Source organism: Homo sapiens, chromosome 6 (assembly GCF_000001405.40).
Source record: "Homo sapiens chromosome 6, GRCh38.p14 Primary Assembly".
In the NCBI taxonomy this organism is placed as follows: Eukaryota; Metazoa; Chordata; class Mammalia; order Primates; family Hominidae; genus Homo; species Homo sapiens.
Genome location: NC_000006.12, coordinates 100,717,576 through 100,739,834, shown reverse-complemented (window position 1 = coordinate 100,739,834; position 22,259 = coordinate 100,717,576). Strand labels below are relative to the sequence as shown.

Here is a 22,259-nt window from a genome sequence, read left to right as displayed (position 1 = left end):
ATAAAGAAGAAAAGAGAAAAGAATCAAACACAATCAGAAATGATAAGGGATATGTCACCACTGACCCCACAGAAATATAACCAGCCACCACAGAATACTATAAACACCTCTATGCGCATAAACTAGAAAATCTAGAAGAAGCAGATAAGTTCCTGGATACATATACCTTCCCAAAACTAGATCAGGAAGAAATTGAATCCCTGAATAGACCAATAGTGAGTTCTGAAATAGAGGTGGTAATACATAGCCTACCAACCAAAAAAAGTCCAGGACCAGTTGGATTCACAGGTGAATTCTACCAGAGGTACAAAGAGCTGATACCATTTCTACTGAAACTATTTCAAAAAATTTAAAGGAGGGACTCCTCCCTAACTCATTTTGTGAGGCCAGCATCATCCTGATGCCAAAACCTGGAAGATCCAACAACAAAAAACAAAAGATGAGGCCAACATCCTTGATGAGCTTCGGTGCAAAAATCCTCAATAAAATACTGGCAAACCAAATCCAGCAGCACAACAAAAAGCTTATTGATTATGATCAAGCTGGCTTCATATCAGGATGCAAGGCTGGTTCAACATATGCAAGTGAATAAATGTGATTCATTGTATAAACTGAACTAAAGACAAAAACCACATGAATATCTCAATAGATGCAGAAAAGCCTTTGATAAAAATTCAACATTGCTTCCTATTATAATCTCTCAATAAACTCTGTATTGAAGGAACATACCTCAAAATAATAAGAACCATATATGACAAACCCATGGCCAATATCATACTGAATTGGCAAAAGCTGGAAGCATTCCCCTTGAAAACCAGCACAAGACAAGGATGCCCTCTCTCACCTCTCCTATTCAGCATAATATTGGAAGTTTTCACCAGGGCAATCAGGCAAGATAATGAAATAAAGGGTATTCATATAGGAAGAGAAGAAGTGAAATTATCTTTGTTTGCACATGACATGATCCTTTATCTAGAAAACCCCATTGTCTCATTCCAAAAGCTTCTTAAGCTGATAAGCAACTTTAGCAATATCTCAGGATAAAAAACCAATGTGCAAAAATTGCTAGCATTGACATTCTTCACAGAATTAGAAATAAAAACTATTTTAAAATTCATGTGGAACAAAAAAGAAGTCCAAATAGCCAAGACAGTCCAAAGCAAAAAGAACAAAGCTGGAGGCATCGTGCTACCTGACTTTAAACTGTACTACAAAGCTACAGCAACCAAAACAGCATGGTAGTGATAGAAGAACAGAGACATAGAATAGTGGAACAGAACAGAGAACTCAGAAATAAGACTGCACTCCTACAACCATCTGATCTTCAAAAACCAGACAAAACCAAGCAGTGGGGAAAGGATTCCCTATTTAATAAATGGTGGTGAGAGAACTGGCTAGCCATATGCAGAAAATTGAAACTGGACCTCTTCCTTACACAAGTGCAAAAATTAACTCAAGATGGATTAAAGACTTAAATGTAAAACCCCAAACTACAAAACCCTAGAAGAAAATCTAGACAGTACCACTGAGGACATAGGCACAGGCAAATATTTCATGACAAAAATGCCAAAAGCAATTGCAACAAAAGCAAAAATTGACAAATGGTATCTAATTAAACTAAAGAGCTTCTGCACAGCAAAATAAACTATTTTCAGAGTGAATGGACAACCTACAGAATGGGATAAAACTTTCTCAATCTATCCATCTGACAAAGGTCTTATATTCAGCATCTACAAGGAACTCAAACAAATTTACAAGAAAAAAAACCTTATTAAAAAGTGGGCAAAGGACATGAACAGACACTTCTCCAGAGAAGACATACATGCAGCCAACAAACATGAAAGACAGCTCAACATCACTGATCATTAGATAAATGCAAATTAAAACCACAATGAGATACCATCTCATGCCTGTCAGAATGGCTGTTACTAAAAAGTCAGTAAACAACAGATGCTGGTGAGATTGTTGAGAAAAAATGCTTTTACACTGTTGGTGGAAGTGTAAATTAGTTTAACCATTGTGGGAGATAGTGTGGTGATTCCTCAAAGACCTAGAGCAGTAATACCATTTGAGCCAGCAATCCCATTACTGGGTATATAACAAAAGGAATATAACTCATTCTGTTACAAAGATACATGTACATGTATGTTCACTGTATCACTGTTCACAATAGCAAAGATATGGAATCAACCTAAATGCCCATCAATGATAGACTGGATAAAGAAAATGTGGTATCTGTACACCATGGAATACTGTGCAGCCATAAAAAGGAATGAGATCATACCCTTTGCAGGGACATGGATGGAGTTGGAAGCCACTATCCTCAGTGACCTAATGCAGGAACAGAAAACCAAACACCACCTATTCTCACTTATAAGTCAGAGCTGCATGATTAGAACACATAGACACAGGTAGGGGAACAACACACACTGGGGCCTGTTGGGGGTGAGGGAGGGAGAGCATCAAGAGGAATAGCTAAGGGATGCTGGGCTTAATATGTAAGGTGATGGGATGATCTGCACAGCAAACCACCATGGCACACGTTTTCTTATGTAATAAACCTGTACATCTTGCACATGTACCCCTGTACTTAAAAAAAAAAAAACTTTGAGTCCTGATCATAGAATGTTCAATTTATATTCATTCCCTACCCACCCCCACTGCCTCCCCCGCCTTTTTTTTTTTAAATAGACGGAGTCTCACTCTGTTGCCCAGGCTGGAGTGCAGTGGTGCAATCTCGGCTCACTGCATCCTCCACCTCTCGGGTTCAAGCAATTCTCCTGCCTCAACTTTCCGAGTAGCTGGGACTACAGGCGCACGCCACTACCCAGGCTAAGTTTTTGTATTTTAGTAGAGTTGGGGTTTCACTGTATTGCCCAGGCTGGTCTTGAAGTCCTGAGCTCAAGCAGTCTGCCTGCCTCAGCCTCCCAAAGTCCTAGGATTACAGGTGTGATCCACTGTGCCTGGCCTCATTCCTCTTTTAATGATACCTTGAAATACAGTTTAGGTCTTCCTGAAAAAATGAGGATCCAGGCCACTTAGTTTAGCTTAGATCCAAGGGGAGCCATTAAGATCCCACCCTTCCTTAGCAACATTCATTCTCAGGGAAATGATATCTGGACACAGGAAGTATCATCTCATTAGGCCAAGGGCTGGACAGTGGAGGTACTAATGCCTTTGTGCAAGATGTAGTAAATGTGCTTCTTTGCTTTTATACACATTTAGAGTTTTCAGTGTGGTTAAGTGTATACAAGCAGATTAGGGAGGAGAACATTTCTCTAAGTCACAAATCCTATTATGTGACAATGTCTTAAAAGGAACTTTTTTTTTTTTGAAATGGAGTTTTACTCTTGTTGCCCAGGCTGGAGTGCAGTGGCAAGATCTCGGCTCACTGAAACCTCCGCCTCCCTGGTTCAAGCGATTCTCCTGCCTCAGCTTCTGAGTAGCTGGGATTACAGGCATGTGCCACCACGCCCAGCTAATTTTGTATTTTTAGTAGAGATGGGGTTTCACCATGTTGGCCAGGATGGTCTCGATCTCCTGACCTCGTGATCTGCCTGCCTCGGCCTCTCAGGAAAAGGAACTTTTTAAACCTACATAGCTACATAGTAGAGCTTACATTATATATTATTAAATGTAAATATACTTTGTTCTGTTTTCCTCATTAGACAAGAATAGTTATCACCAATATTGTGGTATCGATAATTATTACCTGCAAGAAGTATAATTTATCAACAGTTACTGGAGTATGTTCCATGTGTCAGACCACTTCCAGGCATTGTGGATACAGCAGTCAAGAGAGTTACTGTTCCTCCCTTTGTTGTACTTGTGGGTGTATTGAGGGAGCAAGCAATATAGTGTAGTCACTGCTAAAATTGAAAATGTGGGTATGGAGATGCCACAGAAGCATATAAAAAGGAAATATTACTACGGTATATGGTTTGAGAAAAGCCACCTAAATATGTAAGCTCAGGGGCTGAAGGGTGTAGAGAAACATTTTTATACGTAGTTTTATTTTACTTTAATAAAAATTGTATCATACTTTGTGTGTGTGTTTATATAAAGTGCATAATACTATGTCTTTTTTACTTAATTTTGTGTATGTATGTAGAGATCTTATTGTCTTCAGAAGAACCTTATGAATGTTCATTTGTGTCTGTGCCTTTTTCTAGGATGGAATTATGAAAGCAAGATTGCTGAATGTAGGGTTTGTGCATTTTAAATTTGATAAACATTGCCAAATTTACCATCTAAAATGGCTCTATTTTGATGCTTAATATCTCTATTAAAAGGAGAATTTATGCAAACTGATAATAGAAATTTTACTGAATGGACTCTTCACATAAGGGAAAAATGCAAAGTTTCAAAAAAAAAAAAATAAGATGTTAAACATCACTAGCAATCAAACAAATGCTTATTAAAGTACGAAGCTGTTTTCTCATAATAAACTAGTAGTTAAAGATAATAAAAGTACCCCATGCAGGGAAACCTACAGTGTAACTTCAGCTCTCAACCTTGCAAATAGTGTTGTAAAATCATTTTGGCAAGTGATTTCCTTAAATGAAATCGGGGTAATATGGTGAGAAAGAGTTGAAAAGAAAATGGATATTGGAGTCTTGGTGTCCAAGAAATTCATCTTAAGTTGTAATATCAGATCACTCGGGGAATATTTTCCTATTATATACACTGATATTTTGCCCTTTCTATCATGCTCCTACCCTTACTGAGAATTATATGTCATTAAAATAAAAAAGGATGCCTTTTAGCAGCACTTTCCTCCTTAATATATAACATACAATGTTTTTATTGATTTTAGGTTGTTTAAAGTAGACTTTTTATACCCTGCTCTATGGTTTTATTCTAATTAGGATTGGAAATGATGGTTCTGGTATCAATCAATGTGTTCTCAGAAATAGAGATATATTATCTACAAGAAGTAAAAGGTGATATTCTGTTACATCATTTCTAGCATCAACCAGTTTTGCAGAGTAGCTTAGTTTGTTTTGTTACATAAGTATATTTTGTAATTAAGCCAGTGTAGACACTTTGGGCTACTACCTTGCTTATGATTTTATTCTTTCCCTGATGTGGCACCTAGTGGTTTCCCTGATGTGTCTTTACCAGTTAATTGCCCAAAATAGTGGTAGTAGTGATGGTGGTACAGGACTGGGGATAGGGACAGCAATAATAATAGCAGACACTTACATAAGCTTAGTATGTGCTTTGTGCTATAATCTTTTTTATATGAAATAATTCCCATAATCACAAGAAACCTAAAAGGTAAGTACCGTTTTAATCTCCATTTTACAGATGAGAAAATTGAAGCAGGGAGAGTTTAAGTTGCCCAAGGTCACACTGCTGTAAGTACCATGGCAGGTACTCAGACTACTCAGTCTGATGTTATAGTCTTTTTATAATAATTACATCACATTACTGTAGTTAATAAAAAGGACTTCAGGTTTTGTGCTTGTGAGTATTGTTGAAATATCTGATATTTATGTCGTATCAAAAACTCATTTTAATAAATTAGTTATATTTAAGGAAGATAATATAAATACATAGTACCTATTTAATCTTCAGTCAGTGTTTTCCAATATGCATATGCATCAAATAATGAGAATCCCCTTCATAATTTATCACATGGTGGTAAAAAATTCTTCTCCTGCTACCCAGAGGCTCTGCTTTACTTAATGGTGGTTACAAAAGCTTCCTTGCCCCCACTTACCACTCCTAGGCCCAAATAAACAGAACAAGAAAAATGAGAATTATTTCTCTGGGGATTACTAATTTGCATCAAATTGGACAACTCGCTCTGACAACATCATTGTAGCTCCTACAAGAACTATCATAAGACAGGGCACAGTGTCCTTTGTCCCATTTGTGTAAAATATTTGAGAGCGTATATATATTTTGTTTGTTTGTTTTTAAAGGGATATATATAGTAAGCAATGTATGTTTTAGGGGAGAAGAACAAGCTAGTGGAGAGGAGATGGGAGAGTCTCTTTGTGATTTGAATGCTTTACAAACTCATGCATTTTCTAATTTAAGAAATAACGAACAAAATTGCTTTCAAGAGGTTGAGTTTTAATGCTGAACTTTTGGATTTTGTCTGAAGGAACTATAAGTAATTGTCTCATGAGGTTGCTGTTGCATTTATTCTGAAAGTATTGTTCTCTTAGTTCGTTTATTGTTGCTGTAACAGAATACCTTAGACAGGGTAGTTTATAAAGAAAAGGTATTTATTTGGCTCATAATTCTGGTGGCTGGAAAGTTCAAGATTGGGCATCGGCGTCTGATGAGGGCCTCAGGCTGCTTCAGCTAAGTGGCGGAAAGCAAAAGGGGAGCCAGTGCAGGGGTTTGTTGGTGGGTAGGTTCCAGGCTCTTTTTGACTGCCAGTTCTTCTGGGAACTAATAGAGTGAAAATCCACTCACCCCCAAAGGAGGGCATTAATGTATTCATAAGGGATCTGACGTCATGACCCAAACACCACCCACGAGGCCCCACCTACCAATATTGCCACATTGGGGAACAAATTTCACTGAACAAGATGGTCACTGAGTGAACATACTGTGTCATTCGGTCTCCAGAATAGTGTTCTATAGAAGAAACCGCTCTTAAAGTTTGATGCCAGAATAACACTTTTATTGAGGTTCTCTTTTGTCTCTATTTGAAGCTATGTGCCAGTTTTTCTTTCTCAATATAGTGTCAAAAGCTTTGAGCAAGGTTTTATATATAATCACATATTATGTATACTTTCATCATATTTGCTTTTCTCTTTTATCACTTTACTAAACCTTATTTTTAGTGTATGTGAACTTCTGTTAAGCCACTTCAAAACCAATAGCAAATAATTGTTCCTTGATCTTTTTTCTAATGTTGTTAGTTTTCCAATGTTGTTAAATTGCAGGAAATGGAAGGGAAATGGAGGGGGAAATAACAGAAAATGTATAATTTCACTTGGCTCTAACACTACACTACTGGTGCTATATTAGTAATGTGGACCTTGAGGTATAGGTTGTGGCAGTGGCAGTTACTCGAATTGGACAGCTGTACCACATAGATGACCATTGCATTTCATAACATTGTGTGAGAGAGAGTTTGGACCACATTTCTCCTCTGTTTTGCTATATTTTCTCAAAGTATAACTTCTAGTTATCTTTGTATTCTAACCATAGACACACATCTAAGGACATTGAATGAGTGAGTTAGTCACAGGTTTCTATCAGGAAGCTCTTGGATAAACATAAATTGTGGTTAAGTTTATAGATGTACCCATGTTCTTTGTTCTTTTTCCAATTAAAAGAGAAATGATTTAAATAATTGAAATGGGTAAACAATAAGGAACTATGAAAACATCTATTTCTTAATTAACGGTCATTTTCAGTAGCCTTTATCTTACTGTAATTTGTTGATAAGGTTTTAGATTCCCCCTTTCCTCTGTCTGCCTTTCCCAAAAGTACACCCCAAACAAACTTTTGACTACTTATTCTTGAATAAATGTAATCTCTTAATATTGACTGACTGGAATTAGTTTGAAGAGATAAAATTTTTATTATTTTGAGTCTTTTTTGTGGAGAACTGCAGAATACATTTATTTAGTTCATCACATTTAAGGTGTAGTAGTGTGGTATTGCAATACATCTTCTTCTTCTTTTTTTTTTTTTTTTTGTTTTGAGACGGAGTCTCGCTTTGTTGCCCAGGCTGGAGTGCAATGGCATGATCTCCACTCACTGCAACCCCCGCCTCCCGGGTTCAAGTGATTCTCCTGCCTCAGCCTCCCAAGTAGTTGGGATTACAGGCGCCTACCACCATGCCTGGCTAATTTTTGTATTTTTAGTAGAGACGGGGTTTGCCATGTTGGTCAGGCTGTTCTCGAACTCCTGACCTCCTTTTATCTGCCCACCTTGGCCTCCCAAAGTGCTGGGATTACAGGCATGAGCCACCACACCCGACCTGCAGTATGACATTTTAAAGTGTTTCTTTTTAGTAAAAGATTGATCCTCAAACTGGGTTTTACAAATGTAGCAGGTAAGAGGTAGTGACTGTCAAATGTTCAAAGTTGTGTTTTGTTTTGGTTTGGTTTGGTTTTGCTTTCAAAGGGCACACAAACCAGTCCGATTTGAAAAACACAACTTTACAATAAATGAAGGAAACCTGTTCTCTATGAATATCCCAATTGTAACGATTAGGTCTCACCACAGGACAAGTTGCTACCACAAATTAGTCACATGTGAACAGCAAACTGTCTTTACGAACATAAAGAGGCATTCTAAGTTGTAGCAGACGCCTGCTCTACGAGACATTAATGGAGTAAAATCCTGGAGTATTACAGATAAGCAGTTAGAGTGATGAACAAGGGCTTTATGGTTTGTATAAACAGAAATATAAACAATTTTGTATTTTTCTCAATTATATGTAATTAGTTAAGGTTTCAGGGTAACAAAGTATTGTGTCCCTTTTTTTACAAGCTTATGCTAATGAGGCTAGACTTCAGTATGTATATTCTGAGATTGATGAAAAATGTCTTAACACAAAGAACTGCAAAGAGAATGAACTGCAAAAAGAATTGTGTTTCAGATGTAAACACACATAGTCTGGAAAGTATTTTTTTACATGTTCAATTTTGAATAGGAGAACGTCTCTCCCCAATTCCCAGCATTTCCTGCTCTGTTCCTTCAAAAGCTTTAGAATTTCTTCTTGAATTATCCTTTTTTTTTGTAAATGTCAATTTGAAATTTTAGCTAAAAATAGTATCATTTATTTTTCCTAATATGAAAATACCGAGATACATTTCAGGTGACACTCTTTGTGCTTTAGCTTTATTATATTATACTTTTCAAAAAACAATATGCTGTGAGAATACTTTTGTACTTGAATACATTTTTATTTTGTAATTGAAAGCCACCATCCTTGACATAAATATAACTTGATATTTGAGACTATGCTTTATGTGTGTGAGCGTGCATTCGTGCATGTGAATTGATGGGAGAGAAGGGAACATAAAAAATGTTGAAGAGGAAGTGAGTGGAACTAACTGATTTGTTGTAGAGTCCCAAGGGGCAGGTATAATCTGCAAGCTGTCAGATTCCATTATGGGGACTGTTGCCATCAATCAGAACTGACATTTGTATATCAGAGGTTAGTATAACTAATTATATGTATGTTTATGGAATGTAAACCATGTGACATTTTAGATTTAATCTTTAAATTAAAACATCCGTATAATTTATAAGCTTATCGGTTGACTGAGTATGTGATTATGTATTTTAGAAAGGAAGACAGTAGTTCTTAAATCTTGCAAGCTGTTGCCTGGTCTACACCTATAGTGTTAGAATGTGATTTGTAACAATTCCAGGCTATTTTCACCACAGAAGATGTACTAGGCAAGCATTCTTGAAGGTTGCTCTTTAGCTTAGTTAATAGATTCCAAACATTTTTCAACTAAATGTACCATATTTTATCAATTGTAAGATACATTTTGAAAATATACTTGGTAGTGGCATTTGTTTTGTTTTGTTTTGTTTTGTTTTGTTTTCAGAGATGGAGTCTTGCCCTGTCTCCCAGGCTGGAGTGCAGTGGCATGATCACAGCTCAGCGCAGCCTGGAACTCCTGGGCTCAAGCAATCCTCCCACTTCAGCCCCCTGTAAGACTACAGGCATGTGCAACCACATCCAGTTAATTTTTTTTTTTTCTGGAGGCGAGGTCTCACCGTACTGCACAGGCTGGTGTCAAACTCCTGACCTCAAGTCATCTTCCCACTTTGGCCTCCCAAAGTGCTGGGATTATAGGTGTGAGCCACTGCACACAGCCCAGTGGTATTTTTTCACCTTCTTAGTGACAATAAAATATGGTATAGCTGGAATCAATGGCTCCTGAGATTTGATGATATATAGTATACTATTGTATTTTAGTGGCTATGTTTTGATATTTTATCATTCTGGTTTTAAAAAAGTCACATATGTGATTACACAGTTTGCTCCCGGTTTTCTACAGTCTAAGTACTAAAAATTTCAAAATCAATTTTAAATGTTATAAAGACAAGAAAGTATACTTTTATCTTTAAAATTTGTGTATTCCTTTTGATTCAAAACTTTAAATCTACTTTTTAGCCATATGCTTCAAAGTAACAAACTGTTCCAATAGTCAAAATGATAAATTATTTAAAATTCAATATGATATCAATATGACTTGTATAACTTCCCATCAGATATAACAAGATGAGTTAAACATACAACAGGCTACTTTTATGCATCACATACATTTTTGTGTCTTAAGCCAGATATATATTCTCAATAGTAAAAAATAAAACCTTAGGACTCCATTTTATGTATAATGAAACAATTAAAATTGGAAGGTTTTAAGGATTGAGGTGCATCGTTACCTAGCTAGTTGTTCTTCACTAAAGAAAAACTGAAGCATAGCTTCCAATACACATTTGCTTTGTCAGATCTTTGTTCGAGATCTTCTTCTAGAAGTTTGTTCAAGAAGTTGAAATCTTTCCATAAAATGCCTTCTCTGTTCACACACACATTCTCTCTGCCATTTTTCTCTGTTCACACACATATTTTCTCTCCCTCCTTATCTCTTTCTCTTCCTCTTAATTTCTCTAGTCCTCTCCCTCTCTTATTTACCCCCTCACACTAGCTCCTTCATTCTAAAATAATGGCTATTTTGATTTTGATTTACTTTTTGCTCTTGTTGTTAAAGTACCAGTCTTTCAGTGAGATTGTTCAGACATCCATAGTTGTATTATCAGCCTTCCCTGATTTGTCTTAGTCATAAATATATCATGGGCAAACTTTGTCAAAAGTTTCAGTATATACAGAAAACTATGTATATACTGTGTCTAGTGCTTTCTCTTCACTGCCTTCTTGTTGACTTTATCCGATGTGAAAATGAGGTTGAATTGGCATGACTTTTTCTGATGTATTCGTGCTATCACCAAGTGCGCTTTCTTCCCTAAATGCTAACATATGCCCCCATAAACATGGAATATGAGATTAATCATAGGCCATCCGCAGCTATGGATGCTTTCATTTTTGGGAAGAGACTCCTTGGCAAAGGAGAGAGTGGGAAAGGAGAAGGTAAAAAGTGATTATACTTAATATTATGAATTTTTTTCCATGCTGTTGCACGTAGTTTAATAGTTTATTTATTTTTATTGTATAGCATGTATTTTATCCCACTGTATAAATATATTACTTATTATTTATCCATGTTATTGTTGATGGACATTTGGTTTGTTTTTGATTTTGGAGTATTATAAATTATACAGCAATAAAAATTCTTATACATGTCTTTGGGTGCACATATATGTGTGTTTCTGTTGGGTATATAGTATATTAGGAAATGGAATTGCTGGGTCACAACGCATGCATATTTCAGCTTTACTAGATGTTACCAAGCAGTTTTTCAAAGTGATTGTATAAGTTTATATTCCACCGTTACTTTAGGAGAGTTCTAGTTGCTCTACATCCTCTGTAAACATATCCTCTGTTATTTTCTATCATTCATTCTAACTTTTATGGTAGTTGTATAGTGATGTCACTTCTCTCTGTCTATCTGTCTCTCACTCTCTCTTTATCATTCCCCCCTTCTTTTTTGTGTTTTTTTATTAAATATGAAAAAATATATATTCATTATTTTCAATTAATTGTTTGGCTCATGTGTTAACTGCATATTAAGCACTATAGCATAATTATATACTATAGTTACATTTATATGTGCACCTTAATGTTTATTCCCAAGCTCACATATTGCATTTGTTATGTCTACTTAGACAATTTGATTGTTACTTTTGACACATAGAGAATAATGTTATATTTGCAGATGTTTATCTTTAGGGAAGAAAAAGTTATTTTTAGACTTTCTTTGACTTACAGCCAAATAGAAGAGATACACTGTGTTTTGGCAAATGTGTAAGCCACACTCTTAAGCAGGTATAGAAAATTTTTTTCTCCTTAGAATGATCCCTACTGCCACTTTTCTGTCTGGCCCCCCTCCCCCTCCAAACCACTATTTTGATTTATTTCTCTTCATTCTGGCTCAGTTCTTTGTGAAGCCACGTTAATAACATTAGTCATTTTTAATCTTTGTCTCTAATAACTATTTGTAGAGTAAAAATATGAATAAAACATATTTAGACCCTTTTTTGTTGTTGTTGTTGTTGTTGTTGTTGTTGTTACAAACCCAGAACAGAAAGTTCAGATCCATAGCTGCATAGCTCTGGGATCTAACACTGGAGCTGGTCATCTGCCTGTAATTGCTGCCTGGCTGATACAGTGAAAGTTCCTTCTTGAATCTTTGCATTTTCTGTTTCTCAAGGAGCATTAGATTAATTCAATCTAGTAATTTGTGGGGGAAAAAAGAACCAAATGTAAAATGCACAAACTCATTCCTCTCGGAGGCTTTATTACACGAGAGATTTTATGATCTCTCTCATAATTCTTTAGTTCAAAATTCAAAAAATTCCTTTTGGGACAAGTCTGTGAATACGCGGATTTGGGCGTGACGTTCTTCATTCAGTGAAGCACTATCTCTGGTATGTTTGATATAGGGCTTGTTGTAGTATTCAATTAGTAGATTATGCAAATCATTAAAAGTTTAGATTAAAATTTTTACTGTGTTTTTCTCTTCTCTTCCCCTCCTCAAGGAGGAATACACTTTACCTAGGATAAACAATAATGGAGTAGTCGTTAAACAATTGTAGAAAACAAAATAGTGTAATTTTACTATATACAGCTGTAAGGAAAGTTTTTAATAATAACGTTTAAGATGAATTGGTTCTGGCAAGTCTTAGGTCCTTTGGTTTTGCTGTCAAATTAATGAGCATTTAAAAATTAAATACACCAAATGTTTGGCATAATCGTGGTTTATAAGCATCTCAACTATGCCATTTTCCCAGTGGACAGGCTAAAGTTGGAACAGTTTAGAATACTGATTTTTATACTGCCAAGGGATTAAGTACATGTACTGAGAGAAATTTAAGTTGACAGTAAAAGTATTGACAGTTAACCCAGGCCCTAATGCAAGAGCAGATGGAAATGTCTTGCATGAGTTCCAAATCATTAAGCAAATGTGACACTTTATTTTCTAGCCATTTTAGTTCAGGGAACTGAAGTAGTAAAATAGTATTATAAATGAAGCCACTTCTTACTGTGCTGAAATTAAAGCATAGAAAACAAAATACTAGAAAGGATTTTAAGATTTGGTGGTACAGGTTGAGCATCTCTAATTTGAAAATCTGAAATCCAAAATGCTTCAGAATCTAGAACTTTCTGAGTGCTGACATGATGCTCCAAGAAAATACTCATTGGAGCATTTGGATTTTGGATTTTCAAATTAGGGATGCTTTCTGATATCTGAAAATTTTGATTTTATAATTTGTTACCACATTTTTTCTCTGCAAATTAATAAGAAAGGGCTGGCATACTGTTCTAAGTTGGTGGTGAGGTAGATGGCCACGTTTGTATTTATTATTGTAATTTAATAATCTACTTTGTACCTCTCCTAATATTTACTAATAACAAGCTAGTTTTATATTTTAATGTGCCATTAATTTAAAATTTAGGAGAATTATGGTGTCTTTTTGTTTTACAACATATGGGCATGTTTTTCAATGAAAAGCATTGTTAGTAAGTGATCTCTGGGTATATTTATGATACTATATCTTGGGTTATTTTTAATCTGTCATCCAAAGTAGATTATCGGTAGAGTGAATTGTTGATTTTTCTTTCTTTCCTTTTAATGCTTTCATCATTTTTTAGTCCCTTTTCAAATAAAGACCATTATCAGTATATGCTACTTTAAAAAATAGTGTTCTTACTGTTTTTTTTTTTTTTACATTGTAAGATACTTTTTAAAAAAACATGTGTATTTTGTACACTTTGCCCTACAATTCACTGGCAAATTACCTTCAGTGAGCTTAAACTGCCTAGTATCACAGCTTAAAAAGAGTTCTTCTTGAAATGACTGTTGTCTATAGTAAATTAGATGTAATTCTAGGCTATTCTAAACACTTTTTATTTGATTTATGTAGAGGTGGCCAAAATATTTCTTTCTGAGTATCACAGTTCAATGTTAAATAACCTATGTAACTTTCCCCTTTTAAAATGTGTCTTCTCTTATAGATGCTTGTGACCACACCAGAAAAATGGGATGTAGTGACAAGAAAGAGTGTTGGGGATGTAGCTCTTTCCCAGATTGTAAGGCTCCTTATTCTTGATGAAGTTCATTTGCTGCATGAAGATAGAGGACCAGTATTAGAAAGCATAGTTGCCCGTACTTTACGGCAGGTAAGAGGAAGTTATGTATAAGCTTATTTTGAAGGGATAAATATGTTTTTCAACTTAAAATGTAGCATTTTCACTGTAGACCTGTGTTACAAAGCTAAATCTAATATTGACATAATCTTCATATTTTTAAAAGGGGGAATGTACCTGTTGTCCCTAGTTTTAGACCTCACTGGCTATTCATAAATAGCCCAAACCAAAATTGGTAAATTCCTAATGCCAAGAGTCTTAAGATATTTTCTGTTAACCATTCTTTTCATTAAATGAAAAGACAGGATATCTTAGAATATTCATGAGTTTTTAACTGATGTTTTCTGGTAGATTGTACATATATAGAAAATAGATGAACACTTATTTTTTGACCTAATCAAGAACTCTAGTTTCTTGATTCCTCATTTATTGTCTTTTATTCATATTCTCTTGCCTTTATTTTCTTCTGAAATAGCTAAGATTCCATGACTAATCACTTATCTTCTTAATAACTTTAACTTACTTATCCCCTGAGCACCTGACAAAATTACAACAGTGAATCAATTGAGCCATGTCTGTACTTCCAGCCAGACTGCCGATTACTAGTGGGAAATATTGCTGGAGATGCTGACTAGTATCAGTAGACGTTCATAGACTGTGATTTAGAGTAGACATTCCTAGACTACATTCACATGGATCCTTGGGATTACCCTGTAACTTCTAAGCAGCTTTTCGTCTGTGTCCCTAATGTGACCCTCTTCAAGCTTCACCAGTTTCCTTTCTCACTCTTCATCACCCTGTCATGCCGTATTCTTATACAATAGTATTTTGTACTGAAATGGAAATAGAGTCCCTCGTGCTTGAACTCTCTCAATTTCCATTCCTTTTCCCTCCTCTCCCTAACCAGGAAAATGCCCAGCCCTTCCCACCACAAGCATACCCTTCATTCCACCCCTTACTCGTTTCTCAGAGGTCCTTTCTCCCCTTGCCTTAGACCCCATTTCTTTCACTCTGTAAGTTACCCCTTTTCTTTCTCCTATGTCTTTAAGTTCTCTCTCAGTGGGCACTGTCTTTTTGACTTAAAAGGATTGCAAAGTCCCTTCTGTCTTTACCAAAAAATTTCCTTAAACCTATCCCTCACCACCACCTACTGTCTGGAAATATTAATCTCAATTCAATTTCCCTTTTGACTAAACCACTGCAGTCTGGTCATTGCTCAAACATAAGTAATAAAATGTTTTTACCAAGATCACCAGTTACCAGTTCTCAAACCTGTTTTTTTTTTAACTTTTGATTCTACTCATTTTTGATGCTTAATACTACTCATTGTTTCCTCAGTCTTGAAACTCTTTGCTCTTTGACTCTGTGATCCCACCCTGTCCTGGTTACTTTCACTTGTGTGTTTTTTTTTGTTTTTTTTTTTGTTTTTTTGTAGCTACTCTTTCTCAGCCTTCCTTGCTTCTTCCCTGTTCTCAATCTTGTAATGTTTATTGTTTATGTTCTCTAAGACTCCGTCACTTGCCATCTTCTCTCTTTATTCTAAATATTTACTGGGGAAAAACACTTCTATGCCCATCTTACCTAAATTATGTATATATAATATGTATATGATGTATATGCATGTGTGTGTGTATATATATATATTATATATATGTGTCATATATATAATTATAAATATATATATATATATATATATATATATATATATATAATTCCCTAATAACTTCTGGCCATATCCAAACCCAGTTGTATATTTCTACTCTGATATCCCATAAACATCTTTTGCCCATAAACATGTCAGAACTCTTGTCATCTTCCCTATATACCTAGATACGATATCATAATCTACTTGATTCCGAAGCCAAAACCCTGGGAGTCATAGTCAGGCTTTCCCTCTTCCTTAATACTTTCTTCCATCCCAATATCTAATTAGATATCAATTCTTTATATTTTTTTCTAAATACCTCTGATTCAGATTCAAGTGTGGAAATGTAAAGAAGTAGGTACAATAAGTGACATAATGTATTTTTTAAAAGTTCGAAAGTGTTTGTTTTTCATTTTGTAAATTCACCATAAAATTCTAGATGGATTAATGATTTAATTGTTTCAAACAAAGCTCTCAGTTCAATGAAGAAAACATAGGAGAGTTTTTTTTAAAAAAATAATCTTGTTGTTCTATGCAATATGCAAGCTCAAGAAGTTATAAATGAAACCTATGTCACATTTGGATGCATAAATATTTTAAAATTCTGATCAGTAAGACACACCCCTGAAATTTTAAATGTGAGACCAAATAAATTATTTGCAACACATAAAACAACTTGTTAATATTATTTATATTTAATAGGTTTCTATAAGAAAAATAATCAACTGGAAGGAACATTTTACAGTAGAAAAAATTATTGAGAAATATTTAAAAGATGCTTAAAAAGAATATGAATCAGTATGAGACATTTCTGTTCTATCACATTAACAAAAATAAAAACGAAATGGAATTTGAAAGCATCTAGCAAAATCAACGCTGTGTTTTCACTTCTATATATCAAACTGTGGAAATAATAGCACAAATTTATAAAGATCTAGTAATACCAGTATTCATTGAAGCTCTTTTTTTAATACAAAATATTTTAGTAATATCTTGAATATTCAACAATAGAAGAAATTGTTTAATGAATTATAGTATATTTATGCAATGAATTGCTGCTTTGCAGCCTTTAAAAAAAGTGAGAATGAACTGTGTGCTCTTCTTTACATTCGGGGAGCTATACCACAATAATCTATACATTCCACATTTATTTATGTGAACTGGGCTTAAAAGATGTTATATTATTCACTGAAAAAGCAAGCTGTTCTGTATGTGTAGCACAATCCCATTTGTGTAAGAAAAACATGTGCAGTATATTTATGTTTTTATTCATTCATTCATTCAGTTAATGAACATTTATTAAACACTTACACATGTACCAGCTACATAGTTCTAAGTGCTATAGATATAGTGATAAACAAAACAAAGTTCTTGCTTACACTTAGATTTTAGGCTGGTGTAGAATTGGGTGCATATGCATGAAAAGATATGCAACAAGTTGAAGAGTGGTTTCTTTTCTTTCTTTTTCAATTTCAACTATTATTTTAGATTCAGGGGTACATGTGCAAGTTTGTTACATGGGTATATTGCATGATGCTGAAGTTTGGATGTCATTCTTCATAGAATTAGAAAAAACTATTCTAAAATTAATATGGAACCAAAAAAAGAGCCCAAATAGCCAAAGTAATCCTAAGCAAGAAGTACAATAAAAGAGACATCACACTACCCACCTTCAAACTATACTATAAAGCTACAGTAACCAAAACAGCATGGTACTGGTACAAAAACAGACACATAGACCAAATGGAACAGAATAGAAAACTCAGAAATAAAGCCACATACCTACAACCATCTGATCTTCAACAAGGCTGACAAAAATAAGCAATGGGGAAAGGACTCCCTCTTCAATAAATAATGCTGAGATAACTGGTTAGCCATATGCAGAAGAATGTAAATGGACCTTTACCTTTCACTATATACAAAAATTAACTCAAGATGGATTAAAGATTTAAATGTAAGATCTTAAACAATAAAAATCCTACAAGAAAATCTAGGAAACACCATTCTTGACACTGGCCTTGGCAAAGAATTTTTAGCTAAGTCCCCGAAAGCAACTGTAACAAAACCAAAAATTGACAGGTAGGACCTAATTAAACTAAAAAGTGGGAGATAGCAATTGCAACAACAACAACAAAAAATTTGACAAGTAGGACCTAATTAAAAAGTGATTTCTTCAGTAGAAATGAAATTGTAGAAATATTTGGGACTTGTTTACTTTTTACCACATAAATTAAAAATATGTGTATATGCACACACATACAGAAAACACACAGGGTTGAAATTTTCAAAGCTGATTTATAAAACCAGCTTTTAGCTAAAATCCAATTTAAGAGCAATTTTTAAAATCCAGGTAGTTGTCAGACACAGATGAAGTATGATGAAGTCTGAAACTATCATCTCTATTCTCTAGGTCCATTATTCCTACAAGGCATGTGCTCTGGCCCACATGTTATACATGAGGTCTCATAAAAGAAGCATTCAGGGCATGATTTACACAAAGGAGAGCTATTTTGATTATGAAATGTTTTGATTTTATGTCCTGATACTTAACTTACTGATGTTTTTCAAGGAGCCATACTATTACAATCCATACACCACATTTATTTGCAGTGAGCCACCTACAGAGACCATGTCCATCCAGCAAAGATAAGGACTTTCTTCAACTATAGAACATTAGAGGCCAAGTAAATATCATTAGTATATTTTCCAAGAGGTCTATCATTCATGATTACAAGGGATTTTACTGTTATAGTACATCTTTCTTTCCTGAGCATCCCCAGTAGAAAAAGAAAACAGATTGTAGTCTTAGTGCTAATCCTTTCTGTATGTATGTACAAAGACACATAGATATAACATTATATATCATAATATTTTTAAGCAGGCATTATAACCTTAGAAAGTTTACAAATAATTTTGTAAATTGTTTATAAATATATAATTTTTTATTTAAAATATAAATTAATTGTAAATAGTATAGTTTCTATATAAAATCTATAAATGTTATAAACTATATCAAACTATATATTATAGGTTTATTATGTATTATATGCAATATATTATTATATAAATATATAGTGTATCAATATATAAGTGTATATCATATATATTATATATGTATAATAATTTCATCTTCACATTGTCATCTGTATATTGTAATCAAATTCTAATTATATCGTTTTGTACTACTTTGCCCATAAACCTTTGCTGACTTGCTGTTTGTTATCTTAAGAAAAATGGTCAAATTGTTTAGCTGGACGTTAAAGACTACTAATATTAAAGCGCTGTCTGTCTAATTTTAACTTCTACATCTTCATCAGCTACCAGAGGTTCCAGCCACACAAAACTATTTGATCTTTCCCCTACCTCCTTTTAAATATCATTGACCCTCTTTCAAAAACGAAACTAATCTAACTTGAGGCAGAATGTGTTGTTGGTTGTGAGATAAGGATTGTAAATGCCAAATTATGTAATGCCTTCTTTTTTTGTAACTCCACCCATCCATCTATGGAAAATTTACTGTTCTTTTGAATCCATCAAATGCCACTTCTATGATGTGTTTCCTAGTTACTGAATCAGAATGAATTACACCTTTTCTGTGTTTTCTTTGCACTCCCTTTTTTTACATAGTTTTAACGCTTATGATGATCTTCCTTATAATTTCACAACTTACTATAGTGAATTCTGTCTTCATCTAAATGCCTCACTAGAATTCAGCTTCCTTGACAGATGTGTCTGTGTGAATCTTTTCATATTTTCGAAGTATTAGTACAGTGCTCATAGTTATTTTTATTACAAAACAAAGCTCTTATTTTTATTTGTTCCTTGTGATTACCAAATGTTCCCAGTAGATGGCACATCACATCACACTTCAACATTTGTAACTAATGTAGAAGTGCCTTCCAAAGCTATTGGAAGGCAATGTAGATTTTGTTCAGGTTCTGAACTTACATGATGATATTAGGCACTAAATTCATAATACACTTGGCATGATTGGGAGAAATTTGGAAAAGATAAAAGTCTAAGAAATCTTAAATCTATTTTATTTAACAACATGAACTAATAATTAACCTACTTTTAGTAAGTAGGGAGACTTTATCAGAACTAAATTTTATGTGAAGGAAAACATCATAGAAATATACTGTCTAATCCGAGCTAATGATAGGGAGAAAGCTATAAATTTTTAATTTTTTGTAATTGTCAATAATTAATACTTTTAAGGTAAATAGGTATAGTGTATAGACTTGAAGGTTTGGCTTAAGACATAACATTCCAGATTATTTCTATTTCAAATAAAGTATTTCTCACATAGATTTAACTATATTAAATAACTGTATTATAATTATACTTTTAGATTTAAAAATGTTGTTTTAAAGTGGATTTTTAGCAGAAAAATGTCTGGTGTTTGCCAGAGTATTGTGTCTTTAACATCAAACAACCTTAAAAATATATTCTGTAACTATTGTGTCTTAAAAAATGATTTTAAAACCAAATATCACTTTCATTTCTTTCCAAATCACCACTAGTACTACATAGAACTGTGGGATAATTAATCGTTCTAATTACTGTATGTTGTGAAAGAGATTTCTTTAAAAATAGGTCTGGTGATTATTTCCCCTTATTTAGGGTTCCTTGCTTTTGATGGGATTTGGTTTGGGGTTTTGCCAATATCTATAAGATTTCTTCAGTGAAAACAAATTTATAATAAGATACTATATATGTATTGGTACTTTAATTTTTACCCATCTCTACTTTTTTGATCCCTCCCTTGTTATGTTTCTGCAAGTAGTCTCTGCATGTGTGGATCTATGTCTTATTCAGCACTGCATCCCTAGTGCCTACAGATTAGGTCCTAACCCAGTGTTGATGGATGGATGACTCTGAAAGTATTAATATTATTCACATTGAACTACTTTGCTTATACCTATTGAGTCTCCTAGACTGAGTAAAATTATTAACAGCTTACTCAGAAAATCATACTGATATATTTTAATTAACAAATGAATGGAAGTTTTTGGCCATCCCTTGGTTTTATCTTTTTAGGTATGTTACATCATAATCAGATAATATGGCCTATATGATTTTTAGTTTTTGGAATTTACTGAGTTTTTTGTGACCTAAAAATACATTTAGTTGTCACAAAGTTCTTAATTCACATTTTTATTTTTATTTTTATTCATGTATTTATTTTTGAAACAGAGTTTTACTCTGTCACCGATGTTGGAGCTCAGTGACATGATCATATGGGCTCAAGTGATCCTCCCACCTCAGCCTCCTGAGTCGTTGGGACTACAAATGTGTGCCACCACACCAGTTAATATTTTTTTTTCTTTTGGTAGAGATGGGGTTTTGCCATGTTGCCTAGGCTTGTCTCAAACTCCTGGGCTCAAGCAAGCCGCCCACCTTGCCTCCCAAAGTGCTGGGATTACAGGTGTGAGCCAACACACTCACCCCTCATGTGTATTTTTAATTATAGTGGGTATGGAATTCTACTATGTATCTGTTAAATCAAGCTTGTGAATTATGGGCTACAATGTCTGACATGATAGGACCCTCAATTGACCTCTACACTCATCTCTGTCTAGAGTTTTTAGAAGTCCTATTAATAGGACAAATTATAATGTTTTTTGGTTAAATTAATTTAAATAACCCATATTTAATTAAAATAATCCATATAGGTGGAATCCACACAGAGTATGATAAGGATTCTCGGACTGTCTGCAACTTTACCTAACTACCTCGATGTTGCCACATTTTTACATGTTAATCCATACATTGGACTTTTCTTCTTTGATGGCCGTTTTCGACCAGTACCTCTTGGACAGACATTTTTGGGGATTAAATGTGCAAATAAGGTAAATACTCATTTTAATTCTTATCTAAAAATATTTTTGTTGACTTATTATTGAATACTTGTTTGGAGTTAGAGACTCCAAAAGACCATTTCAGCCTTTTGTGGTGTCCACTGAAATGGCCTTTTGCAGAACATTGAATCACATTACAGATGTGATATCCTAGACAAAATCAAGCATACTTCCTCAACTATTTGTAGTAGAGTAAGTCCTCCTATAGAAAGTAGCTTGTCATAGTTTGCATTGGTGTTTTCCATGTATGTTACGTATTTTCAGCTATTAAAAGTTTTACGTTATTTTGACGTGAAATGATTGAAGGGCATTGTGGAATAATAAAAACTCCAATTAAACAAGTAATATATATTGTGATGATATTCATTTAATAGAAATAATAGTACCTCATACTCAATTGAAAATAATATCATAGTAGCAACCATCAAGGAAGGTGTTCTGTTTAACTTACAATGTTCTATGATTACCTTTATTATTATATATATAAATG

The 22,259-nt window shown here is 34.2% G+C and overlaps 1 protein-coding gene across 6 annotated transcripts in view; it reads left to right on the top strand.

Annotated features, from left to right (window-relative positions):
* The window catches only part of ASCC3 (activating signal cointegrator 1 complex subunit 3), a 373,136-nt gene that overhangs the window by 141,495 nt on the left and 209,382 nt on the right, over nt 1-22,259 (top strand). For all 6 annotated transcript variants that reach the window (NM_006828.4, XM_011535394.4, XM_047418108.1 and 3 more), the window contains 2 exons: nt 14,132-14,296; nt 21,584-21,760. In NM_006828.4, the coding sequence (NP_006819.2) occupies nt 14,132-14,296; nt 21,584-21,760 (342 nt within the window). The remainder of the gene's footprint in view (nt 1-14,131; nt 14,297-21,583; nt 21,761-22,259) is intronic.